Here is a 14,554-nt window from a genome sequence, read left to right on the forward strand (position 1 = left end):
AATATCCAGCATCTATAAGGAACTTAAACAAATTTACAAGAAACAACCCCATAAAAAGTAGGCAAAGAACATGAGCAAACACTTTTCAAAAGAAGACATATATGCAGCCAACAATCATATGAAAAAAAGCTCAACATCACTGATCATTAGAGAAATGCAAATCAAAACCACAATGAGATATCATCTAACACCAGTCAGAATGAGTATTATTAAAAAGTAAAAAAATAACAGTTGCTGATGAGGTTGTGGAGAAAAAGGAATGCTTATACACCGTTGGTGGGACTGTAAATTAGTTTAGCCATTGTGGAAGATAGTCTGGTGATTCCTCAAACACCTAAAGACAGAAATACCATTTGACCCAGTAATCCCATTACTGGGTATATACCCAAAGAAATATAAATTATTCTATTATAAAAACACATGCATGCATACGTACATTTGTGACACAATTCACAATAGCAAGGACATGGAATCAACTTAAATGCCCATCAATAATAGACTGGATAAAGAAAATGTGGTACATATACACCATGGAATACTATGCAGTCATAAAAAAGAATGAGATAATGTCTTTTTCAGGGACATAGATGAAGCTGGAGGCCATTAGCCTTAGCAAACCAACATAGGAACAGAAAACCAAATACCACATGTTCTCACTTATAAATGGGAGCTAAATGATGAGAACACATGAACACATAGAGGGGAACAATAGACACTGAGACCTACAGGAGGGTGGAGGGTGGGAGGATGGGGAGGATCAGGAAAAATAACTAATGAGTATTAGGCTTAATACCTGGGTGATGAAATAATCTGTATAACAAACCCCCATAACGCAAGTTTACCTATGTAATAAACCTGCACTTGTACCACGGAACTTAAAAGTTGAAAAAAAAAAAAAAAAAAGATGAGATCTCGCCATGTTTCCCAAGCTGGTTTCAAACTCCTGGCCTCAAGAAATCCTTCTGCCCCAGCCCCCTAGTAGCTGGAATTACAAGCATTAGCCATTGTGGACTGCATATATTTTAACCTATTTTTGTAGTTATTCTTTAATACTTTTGTCTTTTGACTTATTTTTGACATATTTTTGTAGCTATTTTAAATATTTTTGTCTTTTGACCTTTATGCTAGGATTAAAAATGAGTTACCCACTACCAATAGTAACATAATATTATTTATTTGTCTACATATTTACTTTATAGCAAATTTCATGCTTTCTTATGCTATTGTGTTGTTGTTTAGTGTCCTATAGTTTCCACTTGAGGAACTTTCTTTTGCATTTTTTATAAATCAGGTCTAGTAGTGATAAATTTTCTCAGCTTTTTCTTGGTATGGTATTCTTGTTGGCAGGTTTGTTTCTTTTAATAGTTTGAATATATCATTCTACTTTGTCTGGCCTACAAAATTTCTGCTGAAAAAAATCCACTGATTGTATTATGAGGGTTCCCTTGTATATGACAAGTCAGTTTTCCCTTGCCTTTTTCCTTCCTTTTGACTTTTGGCAATCTGATTATATGTGTCTTGGCGTGGATTTTTTCAGATTTATCTTATTTGGTATCTGTTGGGCTTTTTGAATTTGGATGTCCATTTTCTTCCTGGATTTGGGAAGTTTTCAGCCATTCTTTCTTTGAATAAGCTTTCTTTTCTTTTCTCACTCTTTTCAAAGTTTTAGACTCCCATAATGTATATATTGGTCCACTTGATGATGTCTCATAATTCCCCTAGGCTTACTTCACTGTTTTAAATTTTTACTTCTTTTTGCTCCTCTGACTGAATTATTTCCAGTGACCTGTCTTCAAGTTTGCTTATCTTTTCTTTTGCTGATCTAGTCTGCTGTTGAACCTCTCTTATAATAAATTTTTTAGTTCAGTTACTGTGTCCTTCACCTCCATGATTTCTATCTGGTACTTTTAACATTTTCTATTTCCTTGTCGAACTATTCATTTTGTTCATGCACTGTTCTCTTGACTTTGGTGACTGTCTTTATAGAGTTATTTTAAACTCTCTGTCAGGTAAACCATATTACTCTGTTTCATTAGGGTCAGTTGCTGGAAATTTATCTTGTTCTTTTGTTTGGAACATCTTTGCCTGATTCTTCATTTTCCTCAAGTGTCTGTGTTGGTGTCTGTGCATTACTTGTTTGTTTCTTTGTTTCAAGACATCTTGCTCTGTCACCCAGGCTGGAGTACAGTGGCACGATCTCGGCTTACTGCAACCTTTGCCCTGAGGTTTCAAGCGATTCTCATGCCTCAGCCTCCCGAGTAGCTGGGTTTACAGCTGGTGTGCACCACTACACCAGGCTAATTTTTTTGTATTTTTAGAGATGGGATTTCACCATGTTGGCCAGGCTGGTCTCGAACTCCTGACCTCAGGTGATCCACCCACCTTGGTCTCCCAAAGTGCTGGGATTACAGACATGAGCCACTGTGCCCAGCCTGTGTCTATGCATTAGACAAAGCAAGCAACTCTCCTAGTCTTCACCGACTGGCCTCATAAAAGAAGACCCCTACCAATCAGATTGGCCAGAGATTCAGGGGGTCACTACCAACTCTTTCGTCCCTTAGGATAATCAGGCAACTATGTTTTCTATCTGCTTATGGTGTGATGAGCACTGGGGAGCTCAAGATGCTACCTCCATTCTCTTGCGAGTGGCTTCACTGTGCCAGGCCCATCAGAGCTCTAAGACTGAGAAGACAGAAGCCAGTCCTCTAGGGAGCTCTCTTGGAAAGGTTGGGGTGCTAGACACACAAACCAGCCCCTTCTCTTCCCTGAGTGAAGCTGAGAGTGAGGGGCTCTCTTCCTGATTGTATGGCACTGCACTGTGGGCCAGGTGTCTGTGGAGACGGTGCTGGAAATCTCCCTACCAGTTTCAGTGAGTCTGGTTTCATGTTCTGGGGTTCAGGAGCCTGTCAATTAGGTTCTGATTTCCATGTCATCTTCTAATAATGATAGTTTTGTACCTTTCTTTTTCATTTTTATTTCTGTTAATTTTTGTCTTACTGCATTTGTTAATCTTTCCTATATAATGAGGAATGGAGCACTGATGGAAGACATTCTTCTTTATTACCAACTTGAGTGGAATGCTTCTGAAGTTTCAAAAATAAGAATGATGTTTATTGTAGGTTTTTGATTGATTTATTTTATCAGGCTAAAGTAGTTCTTTTCCTATTTTGCCAAAATTTTTATCATGACTAAATTTATTTCTTACTGAACGCTTTTTCTGTATTTGTTTATCATATTTTTTCCCATAAGCTATTAATATGATGTATTACATTACTAGATTGTCTATAACTGAGCTATATATTTGGTATCTTAAGGAAAAAGTACACTTGGCAATGACTTTCTAATACATTGCTGGGTTTGGTTTGCTAATATTTTAGTGATGTTTGTGTCTGTTTTTATCAGTGAGAGTGATTATAGCCCATTGTTATTAAATTATTCTTGTTCAAGTTCAAGTACCCAGGATATTAACATACATTAATTATTGTTATTTTGAACTGTTACCTATGCATGTTACGCATTCCTTTATATATATGATGTGTATAACATAGAAAAAAGACTAGCTTTCCAACTCTACTGTGACATAGTAAGTTTTTTGTTTGTTTGTTTGTTTTGTTTGTTTGTTTTTTAGCAATAACGATGATTGATGCAGGAATCCAATTTGATGCTAACTCCTAGAGGCTAATGAGATTTGACACTCTATGCTGATATCTTTACAGAATGAGCCTTCATGCTTGTCTGTCTATTTCTAAAGGATTGAAGGTAGCTTAGAGAACAATGACCCACGATGTGGATGATCCAGAAGTACAGAAATCTTTCAAAATAATTTACAGAGTGTCCCTGGGGCCTTGGATGTGATCGCCCCCATTCAGGCTCTTCCATAAAAAACTTGCTCAGTGCACATACTATTGGTGGCACTGATAATGATGAAGAAAGTCTTCATGTTATAAAAAGATTTCTAAGACCCAGGCACTTCCTTGATCCAACCAAATTCTAGTGTCATTAAAATTCTTTTTTTTGTTGTTTTGGTTTTTTTGAGACACGTTCTCACTGTGTCACCCAGGCTGGAGTGCAGTGACACAATCTCAGCTCACTGCAACCTCCATCTCCTGGGCTCAAGCCTCAAGCGATCCTGCTACCTCAGCCTCCGGAGTAGCTGGGACCACAGGCATGTGCCACCACATCCAGCTAATTTTTGATATTTTCAGTAGAGATGGGGTTTTGCCATGTTGCCCAGGCTGGTCTGAAACTCCTGAGCTCAAGCGATCCACCTGCCTCGGCCTCTGAAATTGCTGAGATTCCAGGTATGAGCCACCATGCCTGACCTTAAAATTATTGTATATTTCATAATAATGAGCTTTGATTTACAGTTATTCCTTTTTAATTTTGAACAGATACAGTAATTGTACATATTTATGGTGTACAATGTGATACTTTGATACATGCATACAATATGTAATAATAAAATCAGTGTAATGATCAAATCAGTGTAATTATATAGCATATTCATCACCTCAAATATTTATCATTTCTTTGTGTTGAGGATGTTTAAAATCCTCTTTTCTAGCTATTTTGAAATATTTAATAAATTATTGTTAACCATAGTCACCCTATTGTGCTACAGAATACTAGACCTTATTCCTCCTATATACCTGTAATTTTGTACCCATTAACCAACCTCTCCCTATCCCCTTCTTTATCCTACCCGTCCCTGCTTTTGGTAACTACTATTCTACTCTTTACTTCTATGAGATCAACTTAAAAAATTCCCACATATGAGTGAGAACATGCAGTATTTGTCTTTTTATGCCTGGCTTATTTTACTTAACATAATGTCCTTCAGGCTCATCCATGTTGCTGCAAATAACATAATTTCCTTCTTTTTTATGGCTGAATAATATTCCATTACACACACACACACACACACACACACACACACACCATTTTCTTTATCCATTCATTAATTGATGAACACTTAAGTTGATTCCATAACTTGGCTACTGTGAATAGTGCTGCAATAAAAATGGGAATGCAGATATATCTTAAACATACTGATTTTCCTCTCCTTCGTTATTATTATTATTATCACTTCAATAGTTTTTGGGAAACAGGTGGTGTTTAGGTACATGGGTAAGTTCTTTAGGTGTGATTTCTGAGATTTTGGTGTACTCATCACCCGAGCAGTGTACACTGCACCCAGTTGATAATCTTTTATCTCTCAACTCCCCTCCACCCTTTTCTGCAAGTCTCCAGAGTCCATTATGTCATTCTTATGTCTTTATATCCCCATAGCTTAGTTTCCACTTATAAGAGAGAACATACAATGTTTGTTTTCCATTCCTGAATTACTTCCCTAAAAATAATGGTCTCCAACTCTATCCAGATTGTTGCAAATGCCATTATTTAGTTCCTTTTAATGGCTGAGTAGTATTCCATGGTGTTTGTGTGTTTGTATACCCACATCATATTTTCTTTATCCACGCATTGGCTGATGAGCATTTAGGCTGGTTCCATATTTTTGCAATTGTGAATTGTGCTGCTATAAACATATGTGCACAAGTGTCTTTTTTATATAATGACTTCTTTTCCTCTGGGTAAATACCCAGTAGTAGGGTTGCTGGATCAAATTGTGGTTCTACTTTTAGTTCTTTAAGGAAACTCCATATTGTTTTCCATAGTGGTTTTACTAGTTTACATTCCCACCAGCAGTGTAAAGTGTTCCCTTTTCACCACATCTATGCCAGCATCGATTATTTTTCAATTTTTAAATTATGGTCATTCTTGCAGGAGTAAGGTGGTATTACATTGTGGTTTTGATTTGCATTTCCCTGATAATTAGTAATGATGAGCATTTTCTCATGTTTGTTGGCCATTTGTATATCTTCTTTTGAAAAATTTCCATTCATGTCCTTAGCCCACTTTTTGATGAGATTATTTGGTTTTTGTTGCTGATTTGTTTGAGTTCCTTGTAGAATTCTGGATATTAGTCCTTCGTCAGATGCGTGGTTTGCAAATATTCTCTCTCACTTTGTGGATTGTCTCTTTACTTTTCTGGGTATTTCTTTTGCTGTGCAGAAGCTTTTTAAATTAGGTCCCATCTATTTATCTTTGTTTTAGTTGCATTTACTTTTGGGTTCTTGGTCATGAATTCTTTGCTTACCGCAATATCTAGAAGGGTTTTTCCAATGTTACCTTCTAGGATTTTTATGGTTTCATGTCTTAGATTTAAGTCTTTGATCCATCTTCAGTTGATTTTTGTATAAGGTGAGAGATAAGGATCCATTTTCATGTTTTTACATGTGGCTGGCCAGTTATCCCAGCACCATTTGTTGAATAGGGTGTCCTTTCCCCACTTTGTTTTTGTTTGCTTTGTCGAAGATCAGTTGGCTGTAAGTATTTGGCTTTATTTCTGGGTTCTTTATTCTGTTCCATTGGTCTGTGTGCCTGCTTTAATACCAGTGCCATGCTGTTTTGGTAACAGTAGCCTTGTATTATAGTTTGAAGTTGGGTAATGTGATGCCTTCAGATTTTTCTTTTTGCTTAGTCTTGCTTTGGCTAAGTGGGCTGTTTTTTTGTTTCCATACGGATTTTAGGATCATTTTTTCCTAGTTCTGTGAATAATGATGACGGCATTTTGATGGGAATTGCACTGAATTTGTATATTTCTTTTAACAGCATGGTCATTTTCACAATATTGATTCTAGCCATCCATGAGCATTAGTCCATTTGTATTGTTGTGTTAGCCTGTTTTCACACTGCTATAAAGAAATACCTGAGACTGGGTAATTTATAAAGGAAAGAGGTTCAATTGACTCACAGTTTTAAATGGCCGGGGAAGCCTCAGGAAACTTACAATTATGGTGGAAGGCAAAGGGAAATGAGGACCTTCTTCACATGGTGGCAAGAGAGAGAAGGGCAAAGGAGGAACTTCCAAACATTTATAAAACCATCAGATCTCATAAGAACTTACTCACTATCATGCAAACAGCATGGAGGAAACTGTCCCCATGATCCAATCACCTCCCTCCCTTGATATCTAGGGATCACAACTTGAGATGAGATTTGGATGGGGATACAGAGCCACACCATATTATTCTGCCCCTGGCCCCTCCCAAATCTCATGTCTTTTAACATTTCAAAACCAATCATGCCTTCTCAACAGTACCCCAAAATCAATTTTTTTAAATTTTTTTATTATTATACTTTAAGTTTTAGGGTACATGTGCACATTGTGCAGGTTAGTTACATACGTATACATGTGCCATGCTGGTGTGCTGCACCCACTAACTCATCATCTAGCATTAGGTATATCTCCCAATGCTATCCCTCCCCCCTCCCCCCACCCACAACAGTCCCCAGAGTGTGATGTTCCCCTTCCTGTGTCCATGTGATCTCATTGTTCAATTCCCACCTATGAGTGAGAATATGCGGTGTTTGGTTTTTTGTTCTTGTGATAGTTTACTGAGAATGATGATTTCCAATTTCATCCATGTCCCTACAAAGGACATGAACTCATCATTTTTTATGGCTGCATAGTATTCCATGGTGTATATGTGCCACATTTTCTTAATCCAGTCTATCATTGTTGGACATTTGGGTTGGTTCCAAGTCTTTGCTATTGTGAATAATGCCGCAATAAACATACGTGTGCATGTGTCTTTATAGCAGCATGATTTATAGTCCTTTGGGTATATACCCAGTAATGGGATGGCTGGGTCAAATGGTATTTCTAGTTCTAGATCCTGAGGAATCGCCACACTGACTTCCACAATGGTTGAACTAGTTTACAGTCCCAACAACAGTGTAAAAGTGTTCCTATTTCTCCACATCCTCTCCAGCACCTGTTGTTTCCTGACTTTTTAATGATTGCCATTCTAACTGGTGTGAGGTGGTATCTCATTGTGGTTTTGATTTGCATTTCTCTGATGGCCAGTGATGGTGAGCATTTTTTCATGTGTTTTTTGCCTGTATAAATGTCTTCTTTTGAGACGTGTCTGTTCATGTCCTTCGCCCACTTTTTGATGGGGTTGTTTGTTTTTTTCTTGTAAATTTGTTTGAGTTCATTGTAGATTCTGGATATTAGCCCTTTGTCAGATGAGTAGGTTGTGAAAATTTTCTCCCATTTTGTAGGTTGCCTGTTCACTCTGATGGTAGTTTCTTTTGCTGTGCAGAAGCTCTTTAGTTTAATTAGATCCCATTTGTCAATTTTGGCTTTTGTTGCCATTGCTTTTGGTGGTTTAGACATGAAGTCCTTGCCCATGCCTATGTCCTGAATGGTAATGCCTAGGTTTTCTTCTAGGGTTTTTATGGTTTTAGGTCTAACATTTAAGTCTTTAATCCATCTTGAATTGATTTTTGTATAAGGTGTAAGGAAGGGATCCAGTTTCAGCTTTCTACATATGGCTAGCCAGTTTTCCCAGCACCATTTATTAAATAGAGAATCCTTTCCCCATTGCTTGTTTTTCTCAGGTTTGTCAAAGATCAGATAGTTGTAGATATGTGGCGTTATTTCTGAGGGCTCTGTTCTGTTCCATTGATCTATATCTCTGTTTTGGTACCAGTACCATGCTGTTTTGGTTACTGTAGCCTTGTAGTATAGTTTGAAGTCAGGTAGTGTGATGCCTCCAGCTTTGTTCTTTTGGCTTAGGATTGACTTGGCAATGCGGGCTCTTTTTTGGTTCCATATGAACTTTAAAGTAGTTTTTTCCAATTCTGTGAAGAAAGGCATTGGTAGCCTGATGGGGGTGGCATTGAATCTGTAAATTACCTTGGGCAGTATGGCCATTTTCACGATATTGATTCTTCCTACCCATGAGCATGGAATGTTCTTCCATTTGTTTGTATCCTCTTTTATTTCGTTGAGCAGTGGTTTGTAGTTCTCCTTGAAGAGGTCCTTCACATCCCTTGTAAGTTGGATTCCTAGGTATTTTATTCTCTTTGAAGCAATTGTGAATGGGAGTTCACTCATGATTTGGCTCTCTGTTTTTCTGTTGTTGGTGTGTAGGAATGCTTGTGATTTTTGCACATTGATTTTGTATCCTGAGACTTTGCTGAAGTTGCTTATGAGCTTAAGGAGATTTTGGGCTGAGACAATGGGGTTTTCTAGATATACAATCATGTCATCTGCAAACAGGGACAATTTGACTTCCTCTTTTCCTAATTGAATACCCTTTATTTCCTTCTCCTGCCTAATTGCCCTGGCCAGAACTTCCAACACTATGTTGAATAGGAGTGGTGAGAGAGGGCATCCCTGTCTTGTGCCAGTTTTCAAAGGGAATGCTTCCAGTTTTTGCCCATTCAGTATGATATTGGCTGTGGGTTTGTCATAGATAGCTCTTATTATTTTGAAATATGTCCCATCAATACCTAATTTATTGAGAGTTTTTAGCATGAAGGTTGTTGAATTTTGTCAAAGGCCTTTTCTGCATCTATTGAGATAATCATGTGGTTTTTGTCTGTGGCTCTGTTTATATGCTGGATTACATTTATTGATTTGCATATATTGAACCAGCCTTGCATCCCAGGGATGAAGCCCAGTTGATCATGGTGGATAAGCTTTTTGATGTCCTGCTGGATTTGGTTTGCCAGTATTTTATTGAGGATTTTTGCATCAATGTTCATCAAGGATATTGGTCTAAAATTCTCTTCTTTGGTTGTGTCTCTGCCTGGCTTTGGTATCAGAATGATGCTGGCCTCATAAAATGAGTTAGGGAGGATTCCCTCTTTTTCTATTGATTGGAATAGTTTCAGAAGTAATGGTACCAGTTCCTCCTTGTACCTGTGGTAGAATTCGGCTGTGAATCCATCTGGTCCTGGACTCTTTTTGGTTGGTAAGCTATTGATTATTGCCACAATTTCAGCTCCTGTTATTGGTCTATTCAGAGATTCAACTTCTTCCTGGTTTAGTCTTGGGAGAGTGTATGTGTCAAGGAATTTATCCATTTCTTCTAGATTTTCTAGTTTATTTGCGTAGAGGTGTTTGTAGTATTCTCTGACGGTAGTTTGTATTTCTGTGGGATTGGTGGTGATATCCCCTTTTATCATTTTTTATTGCGTCTATTTGATTCTTCTCTCTTTTCTTCTTTATTAGTCTTGCTAGTGGTCTATCAATTTTGTTGATCCTTTCAAAAAACCAGCTCCTGGATTCATTAATTTTTTGAAGGGTTTTTTGTGTCTCTATTTCCTTCAGTTCTGCTCTGATTTTAGTTATTTCTTGCCTTCTGCTAGCTTTTGAATGTGTTTGCTCTTGCTTTTCTAGTTCTTTTAATTGTGATGTTAGGGTGTCAATTTTGGATCTTTCCTGCTTTCTCTTGTGGGCATTTAGTGCTATAAATTTCCCTCTACACACTGCTTTGAATGTGTCCCAGAGATGCTGGTATGTTGTGTCTTTGTTCTCGTTGGTTTCAAAGAACATCTTTATTTCTGCCTTCATTTCGTTATGTACCCAGTAGTCATTCAGGAGCCGGTTGTTCAGTTTCCATGTAGTTGAGCGGTTTTGAGTGAGATTCTTAATCCTGAGTTCTAGTTTGATTGCACTGTGGTCTGAGAGATAGTTTGTTATAATTTCTGTTCTTTTACATTTGCTGAGGAGTGCTTTACTTCCAACTATGTGGTCAATTTTGGAATAGGTGTGGTGTGGTGCTGAAAAGAATGTATATTCTGTTGATTTGGGGTGGAGAGTTCTGTAGATGTCTATTAGGTCCGCTTGGTGCAGAGCTGAGTTCAATTCCTGGGTATCCTTGTTGACTTTCTGTCTCGTTGATCTGTCTAATGTTTACAGTGGGGTGTTAAAGTCTCCCATTATTAATGTGTGGGAGTCTAAGTCTCTTTGTAGGTCACTCAGGACTTGCTTTATGAATCTGGGTGCTCCTGTATTGGGTGCATATATATTTAGGATAGTTAGCTCTTCTTGTTGAATTGATCCCTTTACCATTATGTAATGGCCTTCTTTGTCTCTTTTGATCTTTGTTGGTTTAAAGTCTGTTTTATCAGAGACTAGGATTGCAACCCCTGCCTTTTTTTGTTTTCCGTTTGCTTGGTAGGTCTTCCTCCATCCTTTTATTTTGAGCCTATGTGTGTCTCTGCATGTGAGATGGGTTTCCTGAATACAGCACACTGATGGGTCTTGACTCTTTATCCAATTTGCCAGTCTGTGTCTTTTAATTGGAGCATTTAGTCCATTTACATTTAAAGTTAATAGTGTTATGTGTGAATTTGATCCTGTCATTATGATGTTAGCTGGTGATTTTGCTCGTTACTTGATGCAGTTTCTTCCTAGACTTGATGATCGTTACATTTTGGCATGATTTTGCAGCGGCTGGTACCAGTTTTTCCTTTCCATGTTTAGCGCTTCCTTCAGGAGCTCTTTTAGGGCAGGCCTGGTGGTGACAAAATCTCTCAGCATTTGCTTGTCTGTAAAGTATTTTATTTCTCCTTCACTTATGAAGCTTAGTTTGGCTGGATATGAAATTCTGGGTTGAAAATTCTTTTCTTTAAGAATGTTAAATATTGGCCCCCACTCTCTTCTGGCTTGTAGGGTTTCTGCCAAGAGATCCGCTGTTAGTCTGATGGGCTTCCCTTTGAGGGTAACCCGACCTTTCTCTCTGGCTGCCCTTAAAATTTTTTCCTTCATTTCAACTTTAGTGAATCTGACAATTATGTGTCTTGGAGTTGCTCTTCTCGAGGAATATCTTTGTGGCGTTCTCCGTATTTCCTGAATCTGAATGTTGGCCTGCCTTGCTAGATTGGGGAAATTCTCCTGGATAATATCCTGCAGAGTGTTTTCCAACTTGGTTCCATTCTCCCCATCACTTTCAGGTACACCAATCAGACGTAGATTTGGTCTTTTCACATAGTCCCATATTTCTTGGAGGCTTTGCTCGTTTCTTTTTATTCTTTTTTCTCTAAATTTTCCTTCTTGCTTCATTTCATTCATTTCATCTTCCATTGCTGATACTCTTTCTTCCAGTTGATCACATCAGCTCCTGAGGCTTCTGCATTCTTCGTGTAGTTCTCGAGCCTTGGTTTTCAGCTCCATCAGCTCCTTTAAGCACTTCTCTGTATTGGTTATTCTAGTTATACATTCTTCTAAATTTTTTTCAAAGTTTTCAACTTCTTTGCCTTTGGTTTGAATGTCCTCCCGTAGCTCAGAGTAATTTGATCGTCTGAAGCCTTCTTCTCTCAGCTCGTCAAAGTCATTCTCCGTCCAGCTTTGTTCCGTTGCTGGTGAGGAGCTGCGTTCCTTTGGAGGAGGAGAGGCGCTCTGATTTTTAGAGTTTCCAGTTTTTCTGTTCTGTTTTTTCCCCATCTTTGTGGTTTTATCTACTTTTGGTCTTTGATGATGGTGATGTACAGATGGGTTTTTGGTGTGGATGTCCTTTCTGTTTGTTAGTTTTCCTTCTAACAGACAGGACCCTCAGCTGCAGGTCTGTTGGAGTACCCTGCAGTGTGAGGTGTCAGTGTGCCCCTGCTGGGGGGTGCCTCCCAGTTAGGCTGCTCGGGGGTCAGGGGTCAGGGACCCACTTGAGGAGGCAGTCTGCCCGTTCTCAGATCTCCAGCTGCGTGCTGGGAGAACCACTATTCTCTTCAAAGCTGTCAGACAGGGACATTTAAGTCTGCAGAGGTTACTGCTGTCTTTTTGTTTGTCTGTGCCCTGCCCCCAGAGGTGGAGCCTACAGAGGCAGGCAGGCCTCCTTGAGCTGTGGTGGGCTCCACCCAGTTCGAGCTTCCCAGCTGCTTTGTTTACCTAAGCAAGCTGGGCAATGGTGGGCGCCCCTCCCCCAGCCTCGCTGCCGCCTTGCAGTTTGATCTCAGACTGCTGTGCTAGCAATCAGCGAGACTCCATGGGGTAGGACCCTCCGAGCCAGGTGCAGGATATAATCTCGTGGTGCGCCGTTTTTTAAGCCCATCGGAAAAGCGCAGTATTCGGGTGGGAATGACCCGATTCTCCAGGTGCCGTCCGTCACCCCTTTCTTTGATTAGGAAAGGGAACTCCCTGACCCCTTGTGCTTCCCGAGTGAGGCAATGCCTCGCCCTGCTTCGGCTCGCGCACGGTGCGTGCACCCACTGACCTGCACCCACTGTCTGGCACTCCCTAGTGAGATGAACCCAGTACCTCAGATGAAAATGCAGAAATCACCCGTCTTCTGCGTCGCTCAGGCTGGGAGCTGTAGACCGGAGCTGTTCCTATTCGGCCATCTTGGCTCCTCCCAACAAAGTCCCCAGAATCTTAACTCATTTCAGCATTAACTCAAAAGTCCACAGTCCAAAGTCTCATCTGAGACAAGGCAAGTCCCTTCCACCTAGGAGCCTGTCAAAGAAAAAACAAGTTAGTTCCTTCCAAGATATAATGGGGTACAATAATTGGGTAAATATACCCATTTTAAATGGGAGAAATTGGCCAAAACAAATGGTCTGCAGTCTCCTTGTAAGTCTGAAATCCAGCAGGGCAGGCATTAAATCTTAAAGGTTCAAAATGATCTTCTTTGACTCCATGTCTCACATCCAGATCACACTGATGCAAGAGGTGGGCTCCCATGGCCTTGGGCAGCTTCTTCATGGGCTGAAGTTGAGTGATGGGGCTTTTCCAGGTGCAAAGTGTAAGCTGTTGGTGGATCTATCATTCTGGGGTCTGGAGGACAGTGGCCCTCTTCTCACAGCTCCACTAGGCAGTGCCCCTGTGGGGACTCTGTGGAATCTCCAATTTCACATTACCCATCTGTGCTGCTCTAGCAGAGGTTCTGCATGAGGGATCCACCCCTGTGCAGACTTCTGTCTGGATATCCAGGCATTTTCTTACATCCTCTGAAATCTAGGTGGAGGTTACCAAATCTCAGTTCTTGACTTTTGTGTACCCACAGGCCCAATACCACATGGAAGCCACCAAGGCTTGGGGCTTGCACCTTCTGAAGCAATAGCCCAAGTTGTACCTTGGCCCTTTTAGCCACAGCTGGATTGCGAGTGGCCAGAATGCAGGGCACCAAATCCTGAGGCTACACACAGCAGTGGGGCCCTGAGCCTGACCCGCGAAGCCATTTTTTTCCTCCTAGGCCTCCGGGCCGTGATGAGAAGGGCTGCTACCAGGATCTCTGACATGCCCTGGAGACAGTTTTCCCCATTGCTTTGGCAATTAACATTTGGCTCCTGGTTACTTATGCAAATTTCTACAGCAGCGTTGAATTTCTTTTCTGTAGCACAGACTGTGAATTTTCCAAACTCTTATGCTCTGCTACCCTCCCCTTTTAAATATAAGTTCCAATTTCAGATCATCTCTCTCAAGTTGAAAGTTCCACAGATCTCTAGGGCAGGGGCAAAATGCTACCAGTCTCTTTGCTAAAGCATAGCAAGGTGACCTTTGATCCACTTCCCCACAAGTTCCTCATCTCTATCTGAGACTACCTTAGCCTGGACTTCACTGTCCACATCACTATCGGCATTTTGGTCAAAACCATTCAACAAGTCTCTAGGAAGTTCCAAACTTTCTGACATCTTCCTGTCTTCTTAGCCCTCCAAACTGTTCTAACCTCTCCCCATTACCTAGTTCCAAAGTCTCTTCCAC

The 14,554-nt window shown here is 40.0% G+C and overlaps 1 protein-coding gene across 1 annotated transcript in view, besides 2 other annotated features; it reads left to right on the forward strand.

Annotated features, from left to right (window-relative positions):
• The window catches only part of MOCOS (molybdenum cofactor sulfurase), an 84,661-nt gene that overhangs the window by 40,455 nt on the left and 29,652 nt on the right, over nucleotides 1-14,554 (forward strand). The gene's annotated exons all lie outside the window — the stretch shown is intronic.
• Nucleotides 12,239-12,774: an enhancer, noted in NCBI's record as "OCT4-NANOG-H3K4me1 hESC enhancer chr18:33820153-33820688 (GRCh37/hg19 assembly coordinates)". NCBI's record gives its function as "activates a minimal SCP1, AML or CMV promoter by ChIP-STARR-seq in naive H9 embryonic stem cells {active_cell/tissue: H9 hESC(naive)}" and the evidence as "EXISTENCE:reporter gene assay evidence [ECO:0000049][PMID:30033119]".
• Nucleotides 12,775-13,308: an enhancer, noted in NCBI's record as "OCT4-NANOG-H3K4me1 hESC enhancer chr18:33820689-33821222 (GRCh37/hg19 assembly coordinates)". NCBI's record gives its function as "activates a minimal SCP1, AML or CMV promoter by ChIP-STARR-seq in naive H9 embryonic stem cells {active_cell/tissue: H9 hESC(naive)}" and the evidence as "EXISTENCE:reporter gene assay evidence [ECO:0000049][PMID:30033119]".

This window comes from Homo sapiens, chromosome 18 (assembly GCF_000001405.40).
Source record: "Homo sapiens chromosome 18, GRCh38.p14 Primary Assembly".
NCBI lineage: Eukaryota > Metazoa > Chordata > Mammalia > Primates > Hominidae > Homo > Homo sapiens.